Below are 24,478 nucleotides of genomic sequence, written 5' to 3' on the forward strand. Positions count from 1 at the left end.
TTTAATTCTCCATAATTCTCATGGCCCTCTATTTTCCTTTTTCAATACATGTCACAAAATGTGATTATAACTTTAGTTTTATTTATCTAAGATATGACTGCCCCATTGGATTATAAACTCTGCGAGGACAGGAATCATATCTGGTTTGTAGGTAGACCCAGATCCTAGCACTGTGTCCATGCTCAATATTTGTTTATTTATTTATTTATTTATTTATTTATCAGAGACAAGCTCTTGCTTGCTCTGTCACCCAGGCTGGAGCTTAATGGTGCAATCTTGGCTCACTGCAACCTCAACCTCCTGGGCTCAAACGATCCTCCCACCTCAGCCTCCCAAGTAGCTCGAACTATAGGCACATGCCACCATGCTCCACTAATTTTTGTATTTTTTTAGAGAGTGGGTTTCGCTGTGTTGCCCAGACTGCTCTTGAACTCCCGTACTCAAGTGATCCACCCACCTCGGCCTTTCAAAGTGCTGAGATTACAGGTGTGAGCCACCACATCCAGCCAATATGTATTTACTGATGAATAAATAGGAAGTGGTGGCTGGGCGCGGTGGCTCATGCCTGTAATCCCAGCAGTTTGGGTAGCTGAGGTGGGCAGATAACGAGGTCAAGAGATCGAGGCCATCCTGGCCAACATGGTGAAACCTCATCTCTATTAAAAGTACAAAAATTAGCTGGGCGTGGTGGCGCATGCCTATAGTCTCAGCTACTTGGGAGACTGAGGCAGGAGAATTGCTTGAACCCCGGAGGTGGAGGTTGCAGTGAGCTGAGATCGTGCCACTGCACTCCAGCCCGGCGACAGAGCGAGACTCCGTCTCAAAAAAAAAAAAAAAAAAAAAAAAAGGAAGTGGTATTTTTTGTATTTCCTGCTTTCTGCTCCCACTCCTCTGACACCTTCATTCTTTTAGGTTTGCCGGAAGATTTGGTTGGGTCTGTTTGATGCTCGGACATCTTTAGTACCAGATTCCAGGGATCCTCAGAAAGTGAAGGAGTTTCTCCAGGAAAAATATGAGAAGAAGAGATGGTAAGGAGTAGGAAAGAGGTTGCTATGGAAACGTGTTCAAGACATTCTTCATCTGACAGTCCAGTTTCTAGAGTTGAATTTGGCCTTCTCACAAAAGACTAGACTTGGGTCGATTCTGTTCCACTCACATTCAGTTACGGCTAAAATAAATCTACATGAAAGGACAACTTGTTCTCAGTCACTAACCCTGCAGATTTTATGTCCTCTCTTTTGGAGAGATAGTAGACTGATTGGAGTCGGGAGGTAGGCCTGTGGGTGTTCATTTTTATAGCTCAGCTGATCTTATGTATGGGGAGAGATGGCTGGAAGCACACATCCTATAGTTTTATTCCTTTAACCCATCATTTTATGATTTTTTTTTTTTTTTGAGACAAGGTCTCACTCTGTTGCCCAGGCTAGAGTGCAGTGCCACAGTCACAGCTTACTGCAGTCTCAGCTTCTTGGAGCTCAGGTGATCCTCCTACCTCATCCTCCCCAGTAACTGGGACTACAGGTGTGTGCCACCATGCCTGGCTAATTTATATATATATATATATATATATATATATATATATATTTCTTTTTTTTTTTTTTTTTGAGACAGAGTCTCGCTCTGTCACCCAGGCTGGAGTGCAGTGGCGTGATCTCGGCTCACTCCAAGTTCCACCTCCCAGGTTCACGCCATTCTCCTGTCTCAGCCTCCCGAGTAGGTGGGACTACAGGCGCCCGCCACCACACCCAGCTAATTTTTTGTATTTTTAGTAGAGACGGAGTTTCACCGTGTTAGCCAGGATGGTCTCGATCTCCTGACCTCGTGATCCGCCCACCTTGGCTCCCAAAGTGCTGGGATTACAGGCGTGAGCCACTGCGCCCGGCCTTAATTTTTATATTTTTTGTAGAAATGAGGTTTCACCACGTTGCCCAGGCTGGTCTGAAACTCCTGGGCTCAAATGATCTGCCTGCCTTGGCCTCGCAAAGTGCTGGGATTACAGGCGTGAGCCACCGTGCCCGGCCTTGTTTCATGATTTATATGTACAGTCAGCCCTCTGTATCTGTAGATTCTGCAACCATGGATCCAATCAACCTCACATCAAAAATATTTGGGAAAATAGGCCAGGCAAGGTGGCTCACGCCTATAATCCCAGCACTTTGGGAGGCTGAGGTGGGCAGACCACTTGAGGTCAGGAGTTCGAGACTAGCCTGGCCAACATGGTGAAACCCCGTCCCTACTAAAAATACAAAAAAAATTAGCTGGGTGTGGGGGTGGACACTTGTAATCCCAGCTACTCTGGAGGCTGAGGCAGGAAAATTGCTTGAACCCAGGAGGCGGAGGTTGCAGTGAGCTGAGATCATGCCACTGTACTCCAGCCTGGGCAAAGAGAGAGAGACTGTCTCAAAAAAAAAAAAAAAAAAAAAAAAAAGTAGGGAACACAAAAAATAACAATACAACAATAAAAAATAATACAAATAAGGCCAGGTGTGGTGGCTCATGCCTGTAATCCCAGCACTTTGGGAGACCGAGGCGGGTGGATCACAGGGTCAGGACTAGTTCAAGACTAGCCTGGCCAAGATGGTGAAACCCCGTCTCTACTAAAAATACAAAAAATTAGCCAGGCATGGTCATGGGCACCTGTAATCCGAGCTACTCAGGAGGCTGAGGCAGAGAACTGCTTGAACCCGGGAGGCAGTGGTTGCAGTCAGCTGAGATCGTGCCACTGTACTCTAGCCTGGGTGACAGAGTGAAACTCCGTCTCAAAAAAAAAATAATAATACAAATAAAAAGCAATACAATATAGCAACTATTGCATGGCATTTACATTGTATTAGGTATTATAAGTAACCTAGAGATGATTTAAAGTATATTGGAGGATATACATATTTGATGCAAATACTTCACCATATTATATAAGAGACTTGAGTGTCCCGTCCTCTGATTATGGAATTGTCAGGGGGATCCTGGAACCAGTTCCCTGAGGATACCATGGGACAACTATATTTTGTCTTCCTGATGAAGGAAACAGCATCTCCATTCTCCCTTACCTTTCCTCTCCCCTGGTATCACTTCTTGTGGGATCTCTGGGGTGTGTACATGTTGGGAGGTAACTGTGAGGTAGAGAAGAGAATGCAGAGAACAAAGAGATTGATGTGGATAAGACCACACTGTGGAGTCCCTCCTAGGGATGTCCTCAGGATTAAGCTGACACTTACAGAGTAGGGGCCACATACACTGTAGTGGAAGGGAATTGTCCCGGCAGGAGCTGGCAGGATGGAAGTGTGGATTGTGAGCACCTAGAGGATGAGGCGGCAGGCAGCTTTTCTATGGAGCTGAGAAGAAGGAGTCTGAAGAAACACCCAGGAAATAAAAGAGGGGGACCTTTGCCAGGTGTGGTGGCTCATGCCTGTAATCCCAGAACTTTGGAGGCTAAGGCAGGAGGATCACCTGAGGCCAAGAGGTTGAGACCACCCTGGGCAACATAGTGAGACCTCTTCTCTACAAATAATTAAAAAATTAGCCAGGCATGGTAGCATGTACTTGTTTGTGGTCCCAGCTACTTGGGAGGCTGAGGCAGGAGAATCACTTGAGCCTAGGTAGTTAAGGCTGTGTTGAGCCAACATTGCCCCACTGCACTCCACCCTGGGCAACAGCGAGACCCTGTCTCAAAAAAACCAAAAGATGTTCAAGGGGATGCTCAAGATAGGCAGAACTTTGCTAAGTTGCTCGGTTCCCTTCAAAAAAGGGAATCAGTAGAGAAAAATGAGCATAGATTTTGACTCCTGTGTCTTCCCAAACATCTCAGCTGAGCGTGGTCCAAAGTTTTATCCCTCTCTTTACAGCCTAACTATTCTTTCTCAAAGGTATGTCCCCCCAGACCAAGTCAAGGGGCCCACTTATACCAAAGGCAGTGCCTCCACCCCTGTGCAGGGCTCCATCCCAGAAGGGAAGCCCCTTCGGACACTTCTGGGTGATCCTGCACCGTCTCTCTCAGTTGCTGCCTCCACCTCGAGCCAGGTAACTCTCAGATCTGCTCGTCATGTTTCTTTTGAGATTTGGGAGACAGGAGTGTCAGTTTCCTGAATCAGATTCCCCGGACTTAGCAGACAACAGTGCAGGAGCTGTGAGTTGGGTCTCGGCTCTGCTGTTAACCTGTATCTTGTATTTGTCACTTCTGGACCTCATATCTTTTGGAAGTCAGAACCTAACAGGAAGTGGTATTTAGGAAAGTCAGAATATCAGCTCCAAACCTGAGCATTCCATCAAAGAAACACAGAAGGGGCTGGAATATGGTGTCCAATACCTGGGAAGGTTGAGGAGTAACAGCCCTGGGGGCAGTATTGGGCAGTATTCCTGTATATCTCAGGGTTACCTTGGCTCATGTGCTGTAAAATGTGTGGTTCTTGGAGCAGGTGTACTGAGAAGATGAGGATGATATGAGCTCTGAGAGGGGCTAAGGCAGCTCCTGCCCAGGAATCTTCTAGGTTGAGGGCAGTTACTCACTGTCTTCTCTCTCTACCTGCCTATCTGAGGGCAACCTGGGGAGCCAGAGGAGGGCCTGGGGCATGTCTGGGATTCTAAGGGCTGTATGCATTCCTTCTCCTCCAAGCCCGTCAGTCAGTCTCACGCTCGGACATCCCAGGCCCGGAGCACTCAGCCACCTCCCCACTCCTCTGTCAAAAAAGCCAGTACTGACCTGCTGGCTGACATCGGTGGAGACCCCTTTGCTGCACCCCAGATGGCACCAGCTTTTGCTGCATTCCCTGCCTTTGGGGGTAAGTGGGTTTTGGGATGGGACCCTCCCTACAGCGTATATGCTTACAACATGAGAGATCCAGTCCCTGGAGGTAACCATGGCTCTAGATCTTCTCATGCAAACAAATGTGAGGGTCACTCTGAAGCAGTGAGGCTGGGAGGACTGGGGTCAAATAAGTACAGCCAGGATTATGTTTGGGGGTTTGATCCTAAAACATTATAGTTGAGGGCTCCTAGCACTTCCTTTTAGAACACTGGAAATAGCCTTTTTTATTATTTTCTGTCTCTGTTAAAATGGGAGGAGGGGGATTATCATGTGTTCCAGTTCACCAAAGATTATTCTTCCCCCAAATCAGCAATAGCCAGTAGAGGGTTCAGCAGCATAGAATCTGTTTTCCCTTTTTAAAAATTTTCAAGCCAGACACAGTGGCTCACACCTGTAATCCTAGCATTTGAGAGGCTGAGGTGGGCAGATCACCTGAGGTCAGGAGTTCAAGACCAGTCTGGCCAACATGGTGAAACCTCATCTCTACTAAAAAGAAAAAAAAAATTAGCCAAGTGTGGTGGCATGTGCCTGTAGTCCCAGCTACTTGGGAGGCTAAGGCAGGAGAATTGCTTGAACCTAGGAGGTGGAGGTTGCAGTGAATCACAATTGCATCACTGGACTCCAGCCTAGGTGACAGAGTGAGACTCCGTCTCAAAAAAAAAAAAAAAAAAAAAAAAATTCAAGCTCCTTCCTCCATGAAAAAAAATTTTCATGCTCCAAACTAGGCCCTGACAAAAATGTTAATGCCTCATGGAGTAAGGACAGAAGAGGGCAGGGAGTGAACCTGGAGGCCCTGGGTGCCCCTGTTCCCCTGTGTGGGTCTGGCTCTTGGCCCCAGGCCCCACCCATTTCCCTCTGAAGAGAACCCTGTGGAAAGGCAGATGTCCCATAAGAGTGGCCTTTGGCCTTTAGAATTAGTAGCTATATTACATGGATAGGCATATACATTTTCTTTTCTTTTTCTGTTGTGTGTGTGTGGTTTTTTTTTTTTTTTTTTTTTTTTTTTTGAGTCAGAGTCTCATTCTGTCACCCAGGCTAGAGTAGAGTGGCACAATCTCGGCTCACTGCTAGCTCCACCTCCCAGGTTTAAGCAATTCTCATGCCTCAGCCTCCAAGGTAGCTGGGATTACAGGCATGTACCACCACGCCCAGCTAATTTTTATATTTTTAGTAGAGACAGATTTCACCATGTTGACCAGGCTGGTCTTGAACTTCTGACCTCAAGTGATCTGCCCACCTCGGCCTCCCAAAGTGCTGGAATTACAGGCGTGAGCTACCACACCCGACAATTTTCTATATAACCTTTATGTTTCTTCCACCTACAGGCCAGACACCTTCCCAAGGAGGCTTTGCCAACTTTGATGCCTTTAGCAGTGGCCCCAGCTCTTCTGTGTTTGGAAGCCTCCCTCCAGCTGGTCAAGCCTCGTTCCAGGCCCAGCCAACTCCTGCAGGTAAACTCTGCCCCACTGGCTTCCTTTCTCTTCCAACCGTGTCCATTTGTTCATGTCTATAAATCACCATTCATATCCTCACTATCCTAAAGAACTGCTCAAAGCAGCAAAGCACAAAGAGAAGCAGCTCCAGGAGAGGATGAGCGTGTCTGACACATTCTTGTCAGGGAGAGGGGGCTCTACTGTTCTGCTTTTTCATGAAAGGAAAATGACTAAGATTGCAGCAGGAGCTGTGTGGGTTATACACTAGGAAACTTTTCACTAGGAAGTATGGAAGACCTGAGTCCTAGAAAAATTGAAAATGGACGTGACTTTTTCTCTAAGGTGCTCTTGTCTGCATAGTACGCTGTCCCAAAGGGTCAAGGGTCAAGGTAGTCTCCAGAAGTCCTCATCCATCCCTCTAAGACCAAAGGCCTGTAAACTCTATGTTGCTGCCAGCCACAATGGCTCACGCCTGCAATCCTAACACTTTGGGAGGCCGAGGTGGGAGGATCGCTTGAGCCCAGGAGTTTGAGGCTGTAGTGAGTGATTATTGTGCCATTGCACTCCAGTCTGGGTGACAGAGTGAGACCCCATCTCAAAACAAACGAACGAACAAACAAAACCAAATAAACTATGTTATTTAGCCATTGCAAGAGACTCTTCAGGCCTTCTTAAAGCATTCTGCTCCTTCCTAAGCTCTACACATTGAGTCTTCATAGCCTTTGGGTGCCTTCTGCCATTGGACATCCTGGACACATGGGAGGGCAGCTGCAGTGCTCGCCGTCAGGCTCAGATGTCTGGGGAAAAGCCAGTGACATACACTCTTTCTTTCTCCCTTCCTCTACCCACCCTTCTCTTCTCCACCCTCACTGCCAGCCAGTCGGATGCTAACTGAAAGTTACAGCTTTGGTAAGTTATTATCCCCACCCCAGAGCCTACCCAAGTGCCTCTGATCATAGAGTTTTGAGGGCTGGAAGGAACCCTTAAAATTTGGCCATTTGACAGATAAGGCAGTTAAGCAATTTCCCTAGTCATGCAGGCCACAGAGCGACCAAGCTGAGACCAGAGCCCAGACTTCTTGACTCATGCTCTGCCCACAGCCTTCTCACTGTGCCACTGTGAGCTGATTAGCTGCTTTTGTTTTTATTTTATCGTTTTGGAGGGCTATAAGAAGAAACATTTTATATTGATAAAAGTTGGCTGGGCGTGGTGGCTCACATCTGTGATGCCAGCACTTTGGGAGGCCCAGGTGGGCAGATCACCTGAGGTCAGGAGTTTGACATAAGCCTGGCCAACATGGTGAAACACCGTCTCTACTCAAAATACAAAAATTAGCTGGGCATGGTGGCAGGCACCTGTAATCCCAGCTACTCAGGGGACTGAGGCAGGAGAATCACTTGAACCTGGGAGACAGAGGCTGCAGCGAGCCGAGATCCTGCCACTGCACTCCAGCCTGAGTGACAGAGTAAGACTCTTGTCTCAAAAAAAAAAAAAAAAGTTAAAATTCACAAAGAGGTTCTCAAAATCATGTACTTAAAATAACTGACCGCATACCCATGAGATTCACGAAGCAAAAACTATTAGACACAATCAGAATTTAATAAGCCAAAGGACTAGGAGACTATAATATGCTTTCCCACATGACTAATAGACAAGTAAGAAATAAACTATAGGAAACAAAATCTCCATAAATTCTAACAAAGACAAATCACATAGGTCACATTTTGGTTTTTGTTGTTGTTTTGTTGTTTGTGTGTTTTTTGAGACAGAGTCTTACTCTGCTGCCCAGGCTGGAGTGCAATGGCGTGATCTCATTCAAGCGATTCTCCTGCCTCAGCCTCCTGAGTAGCAGGATTACAGGCGCATGCCACCATGCCCGGCTAATTTTTGTATTTTTAGTAGAGACGGGGTTTCACCATGTTGGCTAGGCCGGTCTCAATCTCCTGACCTCAAGTGATCCGCCTGCCTTGGCCTCCCAAAGTTCTGGGATTATAGGCATGGGCCACTATGCCTGGCCATAGGTCACATTCTGTATGATAAAAGATGACACAAACAAAGCTTAAAGGTATGAAACAGATGGAGAGAAGATACAACATGGAAAACAGATGGAAATTAGTATCCATAAAGTATTTTTAAAATTCCTGTGAATATGAAAATATAATAATGGACAAGACATATAAGCAGGTAACACCCAGAAAAAAAAATATGAAAATAGGCCAGGCGCGGTGGCTCATGCCTATAATCCCAGCAGTTTGGGAAGCTGAGGCAGGTGGATCACCTGAGGTCAGGAGTTCAAGACCAGCCTTGCCGATATGGTGAAACCCTGTCTCTGCTAAAAATACAAATATTAGCCGGGCATGGTGGCAGGCGCCTGTAATAGCAGCTACTTGGGAGGCTGAGGCAGGAGAATCACTTGAACCCGGGAGGCGGAGGTTGCAGTGAGCAGACATCGTGCTGTTGCGCTCCAGCCTGGGCGACAAGAGCGAGACTTTGTCTCGAAAAACAAAAAAACAAAAGAAAATATCCTCAACCTAATTAATCAGAGAAATGCAAACTAGGATAAGATAGTTTTGCACATCATGTTGGCAAAATTTTTAGATTGATAATGGCCAGTATTATGTGGGGGAAAATGACCTTCTTGTGCGCTGTTGGCAGGAATTGTACATTGGTGCAGGAATATTCGATTTAGTAAGAAAGGTGTGCTCCTAGGAATGGGAGCACTCGAGGAAACAGCCTATATAAAGTTGTTATAGATGCGTCCCTTCTGAAATGCCTTCCCAGTACAATTGATTGCTCTAAAGACAGAGTTTTTTTTGTTTTTGTTTTTGTTTTTTTTTTTTTTTAGACGGAGTCTCACTCTGTCACCCAGGCTGGGGTGTAGTGGCACAATCTCGGCTCACTGCAAACTCCGCCTCTCGGGTTCACGCTATTCTCCTGCCTCAGCCTCCTGAGTAGCTGGGGCCACAGGCACCCGCCACCACACCTGGCTAATTTTTTGTATTTTTAGTAGAGACAGGGTTTCACCGTAAAGACAGTTTTTGGGGCAGACTCAGAGAGAAGGAAGGGCTCAGCTCCACGGATGTCCCAAGCATTAAACCTTTTGTCCACTATCTGGCTGTCTCAAAAAGCAGTCAGTCACTGGGCGCAGTGGCTCATACCTGTAATCCCGGCACTTTGGGAGGCTGAGTGGGGTGCATCATTTGAGGTCAGAAGTTTGAAACCAGCCTGGCCTACATGGTGAAACCCCTCTCTACCAAAATACAAAAATTAGCCAGGCATGGTGGTGCGTGACTGTAGTCCCAGCTACTGGGGAGGCTGAGGCAGGAAGATTGCTTGAACCCGGGAGGCTGAGGTAGCAGTGAGCTGAGATTGCGCCACTGCACTCTGGGTGACAGAGCAAGACTCTGTCTCAAACAAAACAAAAACAGTCAATCTACAGCCAAACCCAGAGCCAAGGAACATTTCCGAGGATCCTGCCATTGTTGGGTGCCTTCATGCATTATGTCCATGAGGAAGGAAAGAGCTTCCCTTTGCAGGAAACTGGCTCAACTTGGCCCAGATCTAATGCTGATAATTGGCAGAACCGCTTCCCACTACACCATGATCATGCAGGTGTTCCCGTGAGTGTGACTTAGCTGTTGGGTGTGAACTGAGAGAGGAGATTTTGAGAGGTGGGTGTCTCTTCTGACAAACCTGCTTTTATTTTTATATTTCTGAGGGGGAGTATGGAGAGAGGGGTTTTCAAAACTGCTTCTCTCCCTCAAACTGTGATAAGGCAGGGTAGAAATCTAGCTGCGTGGTATAAGAAGCGCATGAAGGCCGGGTGTGGTGGCTCATGCCTGTAATCCCATCACTTGGGGAGGCTGAGGTGGGCAGATCACCTGAGCTCAGGAGTTTGAGACCAGCCTGGGCAACATGGCAAAACTTCATTTCTACCAAAAATACAAATAATTAGCTGGCCATAGTGGTGCGTGCCTGTAGTCCCAGCTACTCAGGAGGCTAAGGTGGGAGAATCAGCTGAGCCCTGAAGGTCGAGGCTGCAGTGAGCTGAGATCATGCCACTGCACTCCAGCCTGGGCAATTGGAATGAGACCCTGTCTCAAAAAAAAAAAAAAAAAGTGCATGAAATGAAAAGCAAACAGGAGTGCAGGTGTTTCTTGGGCCACCGCCTCCTTTGTGAGAATGCACCCTCTGTGCAAAGGGCCAACCCTGCCTGGGCTAGGGATGGTTCTGCCCCCTAGTGTCCACAGGGAGGCACAGCATGGCCTGCAGCCTCTCTCCCAGCCTGGTCCTCACTGGGTGAAGCTCCTGGAACATGCAGGACCACAGCAGCACAAAGAGTCAGCCATCCGAGGAAAGGGAGCCGTGCTTGCGTGGAAATTCCACATACTGTACTTGGAGGCAGGCAGGCAGGGAAAGGCCTCGGCTGGGAGAGTCAGTAGAGGATCCAACACCATGCTGCTGGCTTTTTTTTTTTTTTGGAAACAGTCTTGCCCTGTCGCCCAGGCTGGAGTGCAGTGGCTCAATCTTGGCTCACTGCAATCTTCCTCTTCCAGGTTCAAGTGATTCTGGTGCCTCAGCCTCCCGTGTAGTTGGGATTACAGGTATGCACCACCACGCCCAGCTTATTTTTGTGCTTTTAGTAGAGACAGGGTTTTGCCATGTTGGCCAGGCTTGTCTTAAACTCCTGACCTCAAGCGATCTGCTTGCCTCAGCCTCCCAAAGTGCTGGGATTACAGGTGTGAGCCACTGGGCCTGGCCCCACCCAGGTGGCTTTCTAGCCTGTCTTGCATCCTGTGGATTAGAAAGGATTGATGACCAAGTAAGCACAGTGGCATTGTAGCCTTGCCCAGGAGGAAGCTGGCAGCCAGCACTCATTCATCTAGAAAGCCCAGGCATTTAGGAAGGAGGTGGCAAAGGAGAGCACTGTCTTACAAGTGCCGACACTCAGTGAGAGGGAGCGGGGCTTCAGGACCTGGCAGCAGGTAGGCACTGGGCACTTCGTCTTCCCTACTAGATTCTCAGCTTCACCCATTTAGGGCCCGGGTCGCTGTTATTTATGCATAGTGCCTGGCATGTGGAAGATCTCCCTTTTTTTTTTTTTTTTTTTTTGAGACGGAGTCTCACTCTGTCGCCCAGGCTGGAGTGCAGTGATATGATCTCGGCTCACTGCAAACTCCACCTCCCGGGTTCACGCCATTCTCCTGCCTCAGCCTCCTGAGTAGTTGGAACTACAGGCACCCGCCACCATGCCTGGCTAATTTTTTTTTTTTTTGTATTTTTAGTAGAGACGGGGTTTCACCGTGTCAGCCAGGTTGGTCTTGATCTCCTGACCTCGTGATCCGCCCTCCTCGGCCTCCCAAAGTGCTAGGATTACAGGCATGAGCCACCACACCTGGCCAGATCTCCCTTTTTTTTTTTTTTTTGAGACGGAGTTTCGCTCTTATTGCCCAGGCTGGAGTGCAATGGTGTGATCCTAGCTCACTGCAACCTCCACTTCCCGGGTTCAAGTGATTCTCCTGCTTCAGCCTCCGAAGTAGCTGGGATTACAAGCACCTGCCACCATGCCTGGCTAATTTTTGTATTTTTAGTAGAGACAGGGTTTCACCATGTTGGCAAGGGTGGTCTCGAACTCCTGACCTCAAGTAATCTGCTCGCCTTGGCCTCTGAAAGTATTGGGATTACAGGCATGAACTGCCGCGTCCTGTCAATAAAGCCTCTTTCCATCTGGACCCTCCTTTTACATTCACAGCAGCCCAGTGTGGTCGATAGGGTCCCAAGATAGAGACGAGACTTTGATGTGCAGACAGGAGGCTTTCTTAAAATGACAGGGACTCAGCCTCTTCCCCTGAGACAAGATTGCTTGGAATTTCCAGGACTCTTGGCCCTCAGCTGTTTTGTAAGATTTCCATGTGGGCCTTGCCCTCTGTGCTTTTTCTTTTTGGCTCTGAAGAAGAGGCAGGGCAGGAGAACCCCGCAGCGGGGCTGGCCCCATGAACAGTGCCTCCAGGCTCAGGGCACTGGGGCGGCCTCCCGAGAAGCAGCGGCTAAATGGGGAAGGGACAGTGCTGATAGCTGGAGGCTGCACAGGCCAGGAGCCTCCTGAGTGTGATGGGACTTGCTGTCCTCCATGGTGCCTCTGCCTGCCCCTCCCTGCCATGTTCTGATAAATGGAAATGCGGGCTTGAGGAAAGGACAGGCTTTTCCATCTCTTGAGGGAAAAGTGAGACATGAAAGCCAAACTGGAGCAGGAGGAGGACAGCCTGACCTGGGGACGAGCTGCTTTCCTCTCCGCAGCGCAGCTTTGAGCGCAGGGGACACGGAGAAGGGCTGGGCTGTCACCTTGCCCAGAACTCTTGGTGGGAGACAAGACCTCCTGAACTGGGTGGTCCCTGAGAAAATGGGCTGCCTCAGAGAACCCAGCAGGCACCTGTCATGCCATGACTCCAATCCATCACCACCACCACCTCCATCTGCTCTCCTGCCCCTCCCGCCCTGTCTTACCTCAGCTCTCCCTGTTGTATTTTCCACAACTGCCCAGGGAGCAGCCAGGGGACTCCATTTGGTGCCACTCCCCTGGCACCCGCCAGTCAGCCAAACAGCCTCGCAGACGTGGGCAGCTTCCTGGGACCCGGGGTGCCCGCTGCAGGTGTTCCTAGCAGGTAGGTACAGACAGTGGGCAGTCTGCTGTAGGGCAGGAGAGCCGCCCGAAGCCTGGCCATGTTCCTCCCAGCCCCATCGGCATCTCCTGGCAGTTCTCCCCTCCCCTCCTCTCCCTTACTCACCCTGGAGAGCAGGGTTGGCATCTCCTGGCCCCTTGCTCAGGTTTGATTGGCCCTGGCAGCTGTGTATGACTTCTCTCTCCCCGTGTTGTAGCCTCTTCGGGATGGCTGGCCAGGTCCCCCCGCTCCAGTCTGTCACGATGGGCGGCGGCGGCGGCAGCAGCACAGGGCTGGCCTTTGGAGGTGAGTCCTGCCTGTGGAGACCCAGGGGAGGGGACCTGAGGCCAGGAGGAGTCTAAGGACTCTGGACAGGGTGGGAAGGGGAGAGATTGAGAGGAATGCTCAGGCATCACAGGATGAAGCACGTGAGAAAAAAAGTAACCATCTCTCTCTTTCCTGCCGCTCCCCATTCCACCTGGGCAGCCTTCACTAACCCTTTCACAGCTCCCGCCGCCCAGTCCCCGCTGCCTTCCACCAACCCGTTCCAGCCCAATGGCTTGGCGCCAGGTAAGCCTCCAGCATGGTCCCTTGTCCTGACCATCTGAGACTTCCAAGGCACACATTACCCTGCAGCCTCTCCCTTAACCCTTTGTCTCACGCTGTCAGGAGAAGCAGACAGCCTGGTTCTTCCCCTGCCCACACGGTGCCAGGCCACCTAGCACCCAGGTCACAGAGCCAGATTTTAGAATTAGAAGCACACAGGTGGCTACTTACCGGAGACCGCACTGAAGACTGTTTTAGAGTTGACTGACAGTGGCAGCGATTCTCCTGTCTCCAGCCCTCAGCAGTGTCCCTTTGGGCACCCAGCCCCAGTCCCTTCTGTGTCCCGAAGCTTAAGCCACCTGAAACACTCACGCTGTTCCCTGCTTCCATCAACTCCAGGCCTGTTGTCTTCTCTCACCCTGGCCCTCCCCAGCCTCTGCTGCTCTCCCCTCAGACTCATGCTGGCTGAAGCCTTGAGGCTGGGGAGAGAGGAATAAGAGCAAACACAGAAGAGCTGTGTGGTGGGCCCAGTGCTGAGGGCTTCGTGGCCCTGATTTGATCTTCACAGTAGCCCTATGAGACGGACTGTCCCCATTTTAGAGATGAGAACTGAAGCACAGACAGCGTTAGAAGTTTGTGCTGTTTTTGCAGTTTAGTGGGAGGCTAGCCCAGTCCTGCACCGCGCCCGTGCCTGGAACTACCATGCCCTCCCTGCCACGTACCCCCGGGCAGGGAGAGGGCAGGGTTGTTTGGTGGTGTGAGAAGCAGAAGAGTTCCATGGCTGGGTCCCTCGTTCCTCATGTCAGGAAAAAACTATATCCCATTTTCCCATCTTGGAGGGACTTAGGAAAAACAGTTCTCCAGCCCACCTTCCAGAAGTTCACCTGAGCCTCCCGTCTTTCACTCCATAGGGCCCGGCTTTGGGATGAGCAGTGCTGGGCCTGGCTTCCCCCAGGCAGTGCCACCCACTGGGGCCTTTGCCAGCTCCTTCCCAGCACCGCTGTTCCCCCCGCAGACCCCGCTTGTTCAGCAGCAGAATGGTAAGAGCTGTAGATGGACAAACCCTTTCACCCCATCCCATCTCTGCATAGAGATCAGTTAGTTGTTCCTCCGACCTCATCAGAGCCCATGCAGTGCCCTTTCTGACCAGCAGGGGGGACCAGGGAAGCACCAGACCCGCCCGGGTACTTCCACTGCTCTGTTCCCTTACTCCCCCAGTTTAGGAGGGCCCCCCTTGCTGTCCGCCTGCAGGAAGGCAGGCTGGTGTCAGCTGAGTGACTGCTCTCGCCCCCTAGGCTCTTCCTTCGGGGACTTAGGATCAGCCAAGTTGGGGCAGAGGCCACTGAGCCAGCCAGCTGGGATCTCCACCAACCCCTTCATGGTGAGTGTGCCAGCAGGGGTGCTGTGGTAGGGCTCGTGGGCTTTCCCTCTGGGACAATCCTTCCAGAAGAGGCTGATGTGAGGTGGCCCCTGTGCCCCTTCCTCGTGAAGGTCTGCGTTGTCCAAGCCAGGGCTGAGCTTGGGCCTCAGCTCTTCTGGGCACTGGCATCTCCCATGCTGTTCCAGCCCTGCCCTTGGCTCCCTTCTCCCTCACTTTCCTTTTTTTTTTTTTTTTGAGACAGCCTCACTCTGTCTCCCAGGCCCAATCTCAGCTCACCGCAACCTCTACCTCCTGAGTTCAAGCAATTCTCCTGCCTCAGCCTCCCAAGTAGCAGGGACTACAGGTGTGCACCACCGCACATGGCTAATTTTTGTATTTTTAGTAGAGATAGGGTTTTCCCGTGTTGGCCAGGCTGGTCTTGAACTCCTGACCTCAGGTGATCAGCCCACCTTGGCCTGCCAAAGGGCTGGGATTACAGGCATGAGCTACCGTGCCTGGCCTTTTCTCCCTCACTTTCCCACTGCCCTCAGCATAGCGATTTTTCAGGAGAAAGGACTCCTGGCTGCCTTTCTTCTAAGCTTCCAGTTCCTCTCCCCTAACTGGAAAATGTATTGTTCTTTCTTTCCAGACTGGACCCTCATCAAGCCCATTCGCCTCCAAACCTCCAACCACCAACCCCTTCTTGTAGCACTGTGTTTTTGGGGGGCCTCTTCCCTGCCTTCTGGGGCCCCTCTGCTCCCTAGAGCTCTGGTGACCACTTGCCTGTGGGCATTTCTATGGGCCTTGGGGATGGTGGAGGTGCTAATGCTTTGCTTGGGGCCTACAGGTGAAAGGTGGCTGCCCTCAGATTCCACAAAGCCTCTCTCCCCTCCCTCGTCCCACCCCCACCCAGGCAGGAAGCCCAGGAGGAGTGCGGGCAGGGCCTGACCTGGAGGAGTGATGGTTGAGGGGGAGGGATTTTTTTCAAATGATCAGTCCCCTGTGGAACAGCTCTTCCCTGGGCCTAGCTCGCCAGCGCTGTGCTCCTCATGGACGGGAGCGCAGTGGGGAAGGTAGGGGAAAGATGAGGCACAGTGTTGATGGGGCAGTGACCAGACAGTCCTGAGACCCAGAAGGCCCAGGTGGCCCAAGTGCTCTTGGTGGCCCAGCTTGGCCAGCACACACTTTCCTCCTGCAGCACCCCCTGCTGAAGGGGTCCCCCATTGTTTTGCTTCCCCAGCGCCCAGGATGAGCGGTTTACCATCGAGCTTACCCGGGCCCGGCTCCTGTCAAGCACTTTAGTTAGCTGTTGGTGTCATGTTTGGATACCAGTGTTTTATATTTATACATAGAGAGGATTTTCTAATATAGCCTATTATATATAAATAGATCTATCTATATGCACATACATACATATATACACACACCCAGCCGATCTCCCGCTCCCAGACTGCTCTCGTATGTGGGGAATGGGATGAATCCCCATCTGTGCCTCGACCATCAAAGCCGGAGCTCCAGGGCTGGAGGGGGGGCAGCCATGTGTCCTGACCCCCACCATCCCCAGAGCCTGGGTTTTCCAGGGAAAGGCTTTGTGCAATTGCCTGGTCTTTTTTTTTTTTTTTTTTTCTCCATGTGCCTCCCTGTCCCCAAATCTCTGCACCAAAGCTCATTGCAGGCAATGTTGGAAAAGAACTGCATTTGAACGAAAGAGAAAACGGCGCCTGTGGTTTTGCTTCAGGCCACTTTGAGGGGTTGCAGGTCAGTCAACATGACTGATCCTTGACCTGGCTCTGCTGGGCTGGACTGCCTGGGCCAGTGATAATGCTGCCATTGGCCAGAGACAGGGCAGAGCCCGTCCCTGTCTGAACAAGAGTCCCGCATTAGCAATGAGAAGAAGCGTGGCGGGAGAGGAGCCACCACTGCCGGGGACTGGAGTTTGTTGGATGTGAGGGGAATGCCCACTGGGGCCAGGGTGGGCAAAGGAGGTTGGTGCCAATGTGGTGCTGGAAGTAGACCCCTCCTGGGTCTGGAACATTCTCTGCCCCAGGCTCTTTCCACCTGGGGATGTTGTGACAACATCCAGCTGTGGTGTCTGGGCTATTTGTGTGGTGACAAGACAGACCTGGTCAGGGGGTGGGTGGCAAACACCTCACCTGGCTGGGCAGAGGCCACCTTGCTGTTTGGCCCAAGGCCAGGTGAGGCCCCTCCCTTTCCACCATTGCCCTGGCCCCGTGGCCATTCATTCTTGGGGTTTGTCTGAGTCTTCCACAGAGAGCAGCAAAGAGATATGGGAGTTGGGTGATCAGTGTATTTACTTTGCAGATTTTTCTGGAAATAACCTCTAGCTGCTGCTATTTGCAAGGCTGGGATTGGCCTCCCTGTCTTTTCCAACAATCAGGACCCCATCCTGTCTGTTCCTGTTCTTCTCCCAGCCTCTGCCCTCCTTCTGTCTCCTGGGTGGTCTCCCGCTTCGCTCCTGGCCTTTGCATGTTCCATCTCTTCTCTTTCTCCCCTCTTCGCCACCCTAGATTATCTCTGTGTCCCTCTACCTAATTCTCTTACCAGTTCTTTCCTTTCTGCTTAGAGCCGGAGGGAGGGAAGCTGGAATCTGTTATGGTGTATTAGGGGGAGGAGCCTTTCTGTTATTTCCCCCCAGCTTCCATCACCCTTCCCTTAATGCCAGGAGCGCCGAGGTTTGGAACTGAGGCTAAACCGAAGGGCTTTCTCCTGCTTCTGTCACCCTGTGCTGTCTCCCGGCATCTCCTCACTATCTGGGTCCAGGCCCGGGTCCTCCCTGCAGACTCCCTCCCCTCCAGCCCACAAGGACTCCAGCCTGCTGGCTGGTGAGAGCTGGATGAGCAGTAAGAAGTTAACGCCAGGTCAGCCTCGGGCCCCAGGGTTCCCTGGGCACAGGCTGACACTAGGAGCTGCTCTCCTTGGCCGGGGACAGCTCCAGCAGCTCAGGCTCCAGCCCTCCAGTGAGCCGCCTCTCCTGGAGAGTAGCAAAGAATGGAGAAAGGCCTGGCTTGAGAGGAAATGGAGAAAACATTGCCTGGTAGCTGCAGATTCAAACCCACCACACACACCACGGGGCTAGAGTGACTCACCTGGGCTCACACCAACTTCTGGCCAATGCAGGGACCATGCTCTGCAGACAGCAGTCCTCTAGCATGGCCCCAGCATTCAGCCAGTCGGTCACCTGTGGGCCATCCCCATGTGTGAGGAAGCAGGAGTCAGCCACCAAGTGTCTCCACATCGGAGCTTGCGGGTCAGACCTGTGGGCCAGGGGATGGGAGCAGGGCTGAGGGTAGGGGCTGAATGTGTGGCTCTGTCCCTGTGTTGCCTTCCACAGAGGAGCAAGGCCTCAGGCTGAGGAAGGAGGGGCACGCTGGAACAGCCTAGTCTCCTCCCCGTGGATTCCCCCAAACCCATAACATTCTTCCATAGGGGCTGAGAACGCAGTGCCCCGTCCCTGACAGGGATGAAAAGTGAACCCCTCAGGTCAGGAGAGGCAGAGTTGAGGTTCTGCCACTTCCTGTCCCTGGGGAGCCACTCAAGTTACCAGGGCTACCGGCTGAAATAAATCTTTTCCGGGTAGGGTCAAGGGCAGTGTGTTGCCAAGGCAACTGATGTAGGCCAGTTGCGTGACTCCAGGTTTGTCCTGGTACTCAGTGGGTCCAATCACCTGGCATTGATCACCTGGCATTGATCAGCACCCACCCCACCCCTGAGGCTTGCCCAGCCCCCAGGCCCTCAGATCCCTGCTCTTCCTGCCTTTCCTGCCCATGTGTCACCCAGCACCCAAGGTTCAGTGACACAGGGTGGTTTGGAGCTGGTCACTGTCATAGCAGCTGTGATTTCACAAGGAAGGGTGCTGCAGGGGGACCTGGTTGATGGGGAGTGGGAAGGGGAAGGAATAAAGAGATCTTCCTCAGGTATCTTCAAGCCTCAGGGAGTAAAAAAGACTCCTGGGCCCGGAGTGCAGCAGGGACAGGGGCCCTTTGGTGGCCTCTTTGAGGCAGCAGCAGGACTGGGAGGGGGAGGGGTGTGCACATGTCCTTTGTGTCCCTGCCCCTTTGCACATGGTGCCTGTATCAAGGCCCTTGGCCACGTGGGGCTATGGCCTTGAACACAGTCCGGTTTTGTTGGCCACTTACGGAGCCATTGCCTCTGTGGCCAACACCCAACACTGGGCAGTTGCCGAGCCCCGCCCCACGGCCCCCCCGCCCCACACCACACCACCTGTGCTTCGAGCCTCTCCTGCACCCCAGTGGGGCTTTGGCTTACCAGAGGTCACCTGGAGCAGGCCCTGGGTCCCACCTGCCTGCTGGCTGGGTGCTGGTTGGTTCCCTGCATCTCCCTCTCAATGTGACCTTGGAATAGGTGTGTGAGGACCCCAGCTCCATGCACACAGCACTTGCCTCCCATATTCCCACTCACGTGGGGCCCCTTCCCCAGGAAGCAGGAAGTGTGGCGGGAAGCCCTGCCCACCCTGCTCAGGCTGCCCTGGCCCTTGGGCTAGGTTTGGGTCCTTGCATCTGTTCTCTTGTTCTGTCTTTGTCATATCTTGTTCCTTCCCTGAGGGAGCTCCTCCCTGAATGCCATCTTTATGGGGGCTGCATGTTGGCCTCTCCTCCCTGACCCTCGGCTTTCCCCTTTAGGCACCTTACTTGCCTTGGGTGATATCTCAGGGTCCTCTAAGGTCCCACCAGGTGTCACCTGCTGGTTTGTCTGGTGCACCTTCACCCCCATCCCCTTGGAGGGGGTCAGTGGTCCTTGGATCAGAACTGAGTGCAAAAATGTCCAGTCCCCAGCCCAATCGCAATTTTTTCAAGAAGCAAAGGGTACCTCCATGAGGAAGTCCACACGTCCATGGTCAGAGCCTTCAGGTGGTCCCGGGGTAGTATTTTTGGGCAGTGGTGGCAAGGAGGGGCCCAGAGCAATGGGGCAGCCCGAAGGGGTCTTCCTGAGAGATGGCCTCTTCCTCCGAGGTCTCCTTCAGTGGCCACTTGACTGGGTTCCAGCGGGTATGGTCTGTGCACAGGGACTACCCCCTGAGCTTACTTAGCCCAAGTCACCTCCTATCACCCCAAACTTTCAAGAAACTCAATCTCCAGCTCAGAAATAATCCAGCGCAGTGCTCAGTGGCGGTGGCTCCTTTGGTTACTTGGAAGGGCACAAAACCACTCCTGGATGGGAAGGGGGTACACACAGGAAGGACACCTACAGGCCGAGCGGGGCGTGGCAGGAGCCAGCAGGGTGCATGGAGGCCCCGTTCCAAAGCCCTCTAATCGCCAGCGCCACCACCGCTGCCACAAGTCCGATCACTGGCCTCACACCGAGGCTTTCTCGGTTGCCCCGACGACGTGTCCGGACCGCAGTCAGCTGATCGGTAGAGACGCCCCCACGCTCTCTGCCCCTATAAAGGCTCAGTCTTGGGGTCGAGGCCGCCTCTCTTGGACTTCCCTACTCAAACTCCAGTTCCTGGGCGACGTGAGGATTAGTCTCGTGGGGTGGGGGTTCCGGAGCGGTCGGCGGAGGGAGGGAGGTAGTGGGGAGCCCAGGCCAGGGGCAACAGTCACCGGGACACTCGCTGTGCGCAGAGTCCTTGCCCCAAACTTCCAGTCGGGAGCCCGGGAGAGACGCTGGGCATCAAGACGGGTGGCAGCCTGCCCGGCCGCTGCTCCCGGCCCGCCGAGTTCGCCACCTCACCCCCACCCCTGCTGGCCTCTCCCCGTGCTCAAGACACGAGACCCAGCCGTCTCTGCCTCTTCTGCAGCCACTTTATTGCCTTCGCCCCTGAATGAAGCCCGCAGGCGGCGGCCCCGGGGAGAGCCGGGAATGGCCGCCGTGCCCCTCAGCCAGCCGCTGCCCTGGGCCTGCCCTGCCGACGTGCGGTTCTGCGGCCACCTGCGCGCAGACCCGCCGCGTCCCGAGTGTTCCGAGAGCGAGCAGAAGTTTCGCGCGTGCCGAGCGCGGCTCCAGCGCAGCCTGAGCCTGGCGGGTGCGTGCACCACCAGCAAGTGCGCAGATGCGCGCCAGCACCACCTGATCGTCCTCTACACCCGCGACAGCAGCCTGCGCGTGGCGGCGGCAGGCGAGGCGGAGCAGCAGGCGTGATACAACACCCTGCTCGAGGAGCGCGGTGATGCCGGTGAGGCCCGAGCCCCGGGCTTCCGGGGGCCTCGGGGGCTTCTGGCTGTGGTTTCTCCGTGGCTCGCCCCTCCCCCAGGTCGCCGAAAGTTCAAACATTAAAGGGGCAGGTTTAGAGTTCTCCGGGCACAGGCCCGGCCCGGTGGCTCACGCCTATAATCCCATTAGTTTGGGAGGCCAACGCGGGCGTATCACCTGAGGTCAGGAGTTCGAGACCAGCCTGGCCAACATGGTGAAACCCCATCTCTACTAAAAATACAAAAATTAGCCGGGCGTGGTGGCACATGCCTGTAATCCCAGCTACTCAGGAGACTGAGGCAGGAGAATCGCTTGAACCGGGGAAGCGGAGGTTGCAGTGAGCCAAGATCAACCACTGCACTCCTAGGTAACAGAGCTAGACTCTGTCTCAAAAAAAAAAAAAAAAAAAAAAAAAAAAAAAAAAAAAAAGAGTTCTCCAGGCACAATGACGAGGCCCAGGTGCTCAGGGACCCTCCTATGAGCACCTTCAGACTCCCTGTTCCCCATCCCTGAGACCCCAGCTTCTGCGGACCAGTCAAGTGGCCTGAGCCGTCCAGGGTGTCTGGGAGAGGGGATCGAGCAAGCAGCCCTTAAGACCTTGGCGAGGCTGGGGACAGCAGCCTTCTACCCTAAGGGGCTGGGTGGGGGCTACATAACCAAGGGAGCAGGGAGTGACTATGAGCCCATTCCTACAAGTCTGGGTTCAGGAGCCTGGACACAGGCCCAGGAGTGCCCATCGCGATGTGGGGGCTGGCTGGGGATGGGTAGGGACTCAGCGCTGCTCCTGCCCCCCTCAGAGCTGGCTAGGGAGTGAAGTGTGCACCAAGTTATCGGCCCCAGAGAGCCTCGGAACCGGCACCGCCAGGCCAGAGCCCCTGACGAGCTGCCTCAGCTACGTCGATCTGGACCTGGTCCTTTCTCTGGGGGCACTTGGTGACGTCCCCAGGGCCCACACGCTCCGCCCACATAGCTATGCGGTGAGGAGACCTGAGACCCAGGCAGCTCTCTCCTGCTGACTGATGGGGGGGTGGTTGAGGGAGGGACTGGAGGGAATGGCATTGTAACGCCCCCGCCCTGCCTCCTAACTCCCCACCGTGTGAGGGGCTTTAAGGCCCAGATGCCACCTCGGACAAGTGACCTGCAGGGCAACAAGCTGGGGTCCTGCCCCCTGTGTCCCTTCCAGCTGTGGCACCTAAGTCTTGAGTAGAAGGTTCTCCAAGAAGTTGGGCTATTTTATGGGAGAAAATTCTAGAACCTATCCCCGCCCAAACCACCGAGACTACACACTTCTGGGCTTTCTCAGCTGAAACCCTGATCCTGTTTCTCTACAGAGTTCGTGCAAGAATCTCTAGAGTCTCAGGTAGGCTGCGGCAGGGCCACCTTTCTGCCAGTGGTGACATTTACATGGACCGGCACCCTCCCCCACACACCTGCAGTGCATTCTTTGTGTCTCCTCTGAGCCAGACAACTACCCCACCCAGCCCAGAACTGAACTCCTGGAGCCCCAGCACAAGAGGTGTGGGGCTAGTGTCCCCTAAAAGTGAGGTGCCCCTACTTACTCCCCCGCCTGCTTCCTATACATTCAGCCCTGCACTGCCATGCAGACCACCCACCCACTCATTAAAGGGGCTCTGCCCAGTCAGCCCAGAAATGCCTTAGGTCATGGATACCCTCGCCCTCCGCCTAACACAGCAGGGGGTGATCTGCAGTGAGACAGAAAGAGACCCCATTCCTGCCTCTATGACTTACTCTGCTCCCAGCCACACGGAGCCTGTTTTGCAAACCAACACTGTTTTATTGTCAACACAACCAGCCCACTCTGCCCTGAGAAGGCTATGGACAATGGGTGTCTGGGGTCTGTGGGAGAGAGAGGTCAGCACCCTGAGAACTGCTGGGGCTACCACAGGGGCTGGGTGGGTCAGAGGTATGGTCTGGGGGGCCAACCGCGGAGGAGCTGGGCCTAGGCTCCCCCTGGCTCATCTGCAGCAGGCCAGTGAGAGCGATCAGCTCCGGCCCGCTGAGCCAGGCAGTGGAGGGGCCCCGGGAGGGTGATGGGCGGGGGAGCACCCTGGCAGACATGATGGGGGGCGGCGGCAGCAGTTTCAGGGAGCCCATCATCTGAGGAGAGAGAATGGAATGTGTTTCCTGCCAGGCAAGCCTGGAGGCTGGGGTAAGGACAGGGAGGGGAAAGAGCTCTCACCTGCTGGGGGGCCTTGGACAGGTACAGGGGAACACGCTGCCCCCGGGGCAGCAGAGGGTCCGAGAGGAAGACATCTTCACAGCACACCACCGGGAACCCTAGGAGGAAACACCACTAGGGTGGCGGGCTGCGGGCTCCCACCCCTGGGCACTGGTTCCCAGAGGAGTTGGGGCAGCCTTGCGCCCCCGGGGGACCAAGGGAGGTACCTGCATCTGGGGGCGCCTGCTGTCCATTCCAGTGCCCTGTGGCAGGGGCCACGGGCCTGAGACCCCTGCCCGAGGCTGCTTCATACAGCGGCCAGAATGAGGGGTGACACAGCGTCCGGCCTGAGAACGAGGCTCCTGAGCTACAGTTGGCCCCCTAGGGTGAGGAGGACAGAGCACTGGAGCCTCAGGCCACCGCACAGCTCCCTGAGCACCCCAGCCAGTCCCACAGGTTTGCCCCCAACTCACCCACACCGGCCGAGGTCCTGCTTTGGCTTCATACTTGGGGTCCCAGGGCGCTAGTGGAGTCATCCTCGAGGGGGCCACCTCCCAGGCCACCTGGGGGGAACGGGGATCTGGGGGGACGCTTGGGGATTATAACAGGCTCACAGTCAGTGAGAGGCTCTTAGGGGTAGTAGAGGCAGCAGGGCCTGTCCTACCTGGGGCTCCGGGGGGCTGCTCAGTGGCCGGGCCTGGCAGGTGGTGGGGCAGCAGCAGCTGCTCTCTCCAGATCCAGGAAGGGCTACGGGATGGGGGCTGTGGGCTGGAGGGGCAGGGACTGAGGCTGCAGCCACACCGCCCCCACGCACCCTCCCCTGGAGCCCAAGGGTGCCTGGTGCAAGGGAGACCGAGGGACCCAATCTCCAGCAGGGACAATGGAGAAGCCTCCGTAGAGCGCGTGGTGAAGGCATGGAGGCCCCCAGTCGCTGTCCCCCCACGGCTCCGTCCGAGCCCCTCACCTGTCCCATGGGGGTGTCCCCAGCTCCCTGGGGGCGTCCGCTCCGGCGCTCCAGGGCTCGCCCTGGTCCTTGCCCGCCGGAAGGCCTGGTCCCTCGGGCGCCTCCTCCGGGCCCGCGCCCCACCGCGGCGGCGACCAGGGCAACATTCCGCGTTCCCGAGCGCAGGACGGTACCGCCGTGTCCCCGCCGCCCGGCCCGGCCCTCTCAGCCTCCCTCCGCGGCGCGGCGCGAACGTGCCCTCCTGGCGAACCCACCCCAGAGGCCTCGCGGCGACGCTGGCGCCCTGTGCGTCTCCCGGCCACGTGGCGCGTGCCCCCGCCGGGCTCCCGCGGGCGCCCCCTGGCGACTGGGCGGTGAATTCCGGA

The 24,478-nt window shown here is 54.0% G+C and overlaps 2 protein-coding genes and 1 pseudogene across 7 annotated transcripts in view, besides 6 other annotated features; 2 read left to right on the plus strand and 1 right to left on the minus strand.

The window, feature by feature from the left end:
* AGFG2 (ArfGAP with FG repeats 2) overlaps positions 1–18,737 on the plus strand; it is a 29,018-nt gene extending 10,281 nt beyond the window's left edge. For 2 of the 4 annotated variants that reach the window (XM_005250306.3, XM_047420307.1), the window contains exons 3-13: positions 913–1,028; positions 3,864–4,017; positions 4,610–4,775; positions 6,127–6,252; positions 7,111–7,143; positions 12,776–12,896; positions 13,111–13,199; positions 13,380–13,463; positions 14,351–14,479; positions 14,735–14,820; positions 15,449–18,737. In XM_005250306.3, coding sequence (XP_005250363.1) covers positions 913–1,028; positions 3,864–4,017; positions 4,610–4,775; positions 6,127–6,252; positions 7,111–7,143; positions 12,776–12,896; positions 13,111–13,199; positions 13,380–13,463; positions 14,351–14,479; positions 14,735–14,820; positions 15,449–15,508 — 1,164 coding nt within the window. In that variant the 3' untranslated portion in view covers positions 15,509–18,737. Of the gene's footprint in view, positions 1–902; positions 1,029–3,863; positions 4,018–4,609; positions 4,776–6,126; positions 6,253–7,110; positions 7,144–12,775; positions 12,897–13,110; positions 13,200–13,379; positions 13,464–14,350; positions 14,480–14,734; positions 14,821–15,448 lie in introns of those variants that run through there. The other 2 variants (NM_006076.5, XM_047420308.1) reach the window with 2 other exon arrangements.
* Positions 10,252–10,301: an enhancer, noted in NCBI's record as "active region_26371". NCBI's record gives its function as "activates an Ori minimal core promoter by ATAC-STARR-seq in GM12878 lymphoblastoid cells {active_cell/tissue: GM12878}" and the evidence as "EXISTENCE:reporter gene assay evidence [ECO:0000049][PMID:35858748]".
* Positions 10,572–10,621: an enhancer, noted in NCBI's record as "active region_26372". NCBI's record gives its function as "activates an Ori minimal core promoter by ATAC-STARR-seq in GM12878 lymphoblastoid cells {active_cell/tissue: GM12878}" and the evidence as "EXISTENCE:reporter gene assay evidence [ECO:0000049][PMID:35858748]".
* Positions 18,088–18,247: an enhancer, noted in NCBI's record as "active region_26373". NCBI's record gives its function as "activates an Ori minimal core promoter by ATAC-STARR-seq in GM12878 lymphoblastoid cells {active_cell/tissue: GM12878}" and the evidence as "EXISTENCE:reporter gene assay evidence [ECO:0000049][PMID:35858748]".
* Positions 19,665–20,336: an enhancer, noted in NCBI's record as "H3K4me1 hESC enhancer chr7:100166771-100167442 (GRCh37/hg19 assembly coordinates)". NCBI's record gives its function as "activates a minimal SCP1, AML or CMV promoter by ChIP-STARR-seq in primed H9 embryonic stem cells {active_cell/tissue: H9 hESC(primed)}" and the evidence as "EXISTENCE:reporter gene assay evidence [ECO:0000049][PMID:30033119]".
* Positions 20,596–20,795: a silencer, noted in NCBI's record as "silent region_18444". NCBI's record gives its function as "represses an Ori minimal core promoter by ATAC-STARR-seq in GM12878 lymphoblastoid cells {active_cell/tissue: GM12878}" and the evidence as "EXISTENCE:reporter gene assay evidence [ECO:0000049][PMID:35858748]".
* IRS3P (insulin receptor substrate 3, pseudogene) lies at positions 20,710–21,918 on the plus strand (annotated as a pseudogene).
* Positions 21,679–22,349: an enhancer, noted in NCBI's record as "H3K4me1 hESC enhancer chr7:100168785-100169455 (GRCh37/hg19 assembly coordinates)". NCBI's record gives its function as "activates a minimal SCP1, AML or CMV promoter by ChIP-STARR-seq in primed H9 embryonic stem cells {active_cell/tissue: H9 hESC(primed)}" and the evidence as "EXISTENCE:reporter gene assay evidence [ECO:0000049][PMID:30033119]".
* On the minus strand, positions 22,745–24,417 carry SAP25 (Sin3A associated protein 25). 3 transcript variants are annotated; one of them, NM_001168682.3, is made up of 6 exons: positions 24,114–24,417; positions 23,814–23,896; positions 23,623–23,729; positions 23,377–23,530; positions 23,171–23,268; positions 22,745–23,088 (listed from the first exon to the last, which is right to left on the minus strand). In NM_001168682.3, exons 1-6 carry the CDS (start codon positions 24,257–24,259, stop codon positions 22,804–22,806), a joined length of 873 nt encoding a protein of 290 aa, NP_001162153.2. In that variant the 5' UTR covers positions 24,260–24,417; the 3' UTR covers positions 22,745–22,803. The 3 variants fall into 3 exon arrangements, with proteins under 3 accessions (NP_001162153.2, NP_001335609.1, NP_001335606.1); NM_001348680.2 differs by having other exon boundaries at positions 23,814–23,917; NM_001348677.2 differs by having other exon boundaries at positions 23,814–24,417.
* Between the last annotated feature and the right edge of the window lie 61 nt (positions 24,418–24,478).

The sequence above is a fragment of the Homo sapiens genome, chromosome 7, assembly GCF_000001405.40.
Source record: "Homo sapiens chromosome 7, GRCh38.p14 Primary Assembly".
Lineage (NCBI taxonomy): Eukaryota > Metazoa > Chordata > Mammalia > Primates > Hominidae > Homo > Homo sapiens.

Excerpts from the sequence above, each read along its gene's own strand:
- SAP25 (NM_001348680.2), bottom strand. The coding sequence starts at position 24,259 with ATGTTGCCCTGGTCGCCGCCGCGGTGGGGCGCGGGCCCGGAGGAGGCG. Across the intron at positions 23,918-24,113 it reads GGGACACCCCCATGGGACAG|CCCACAGCCCCCATCCCGTA; the intron begins GTGAGGGGCTCG and ends CTGCCCCTCCAG. Across the intron at positions 23,730-23,813 it reads GCAGCCCCCCGGAGCCCCAG|ATCCCCGTTCCCCCCAGGTG; the intron begins GTAGGACAGGCC and ends GCGTCCCCCCAG.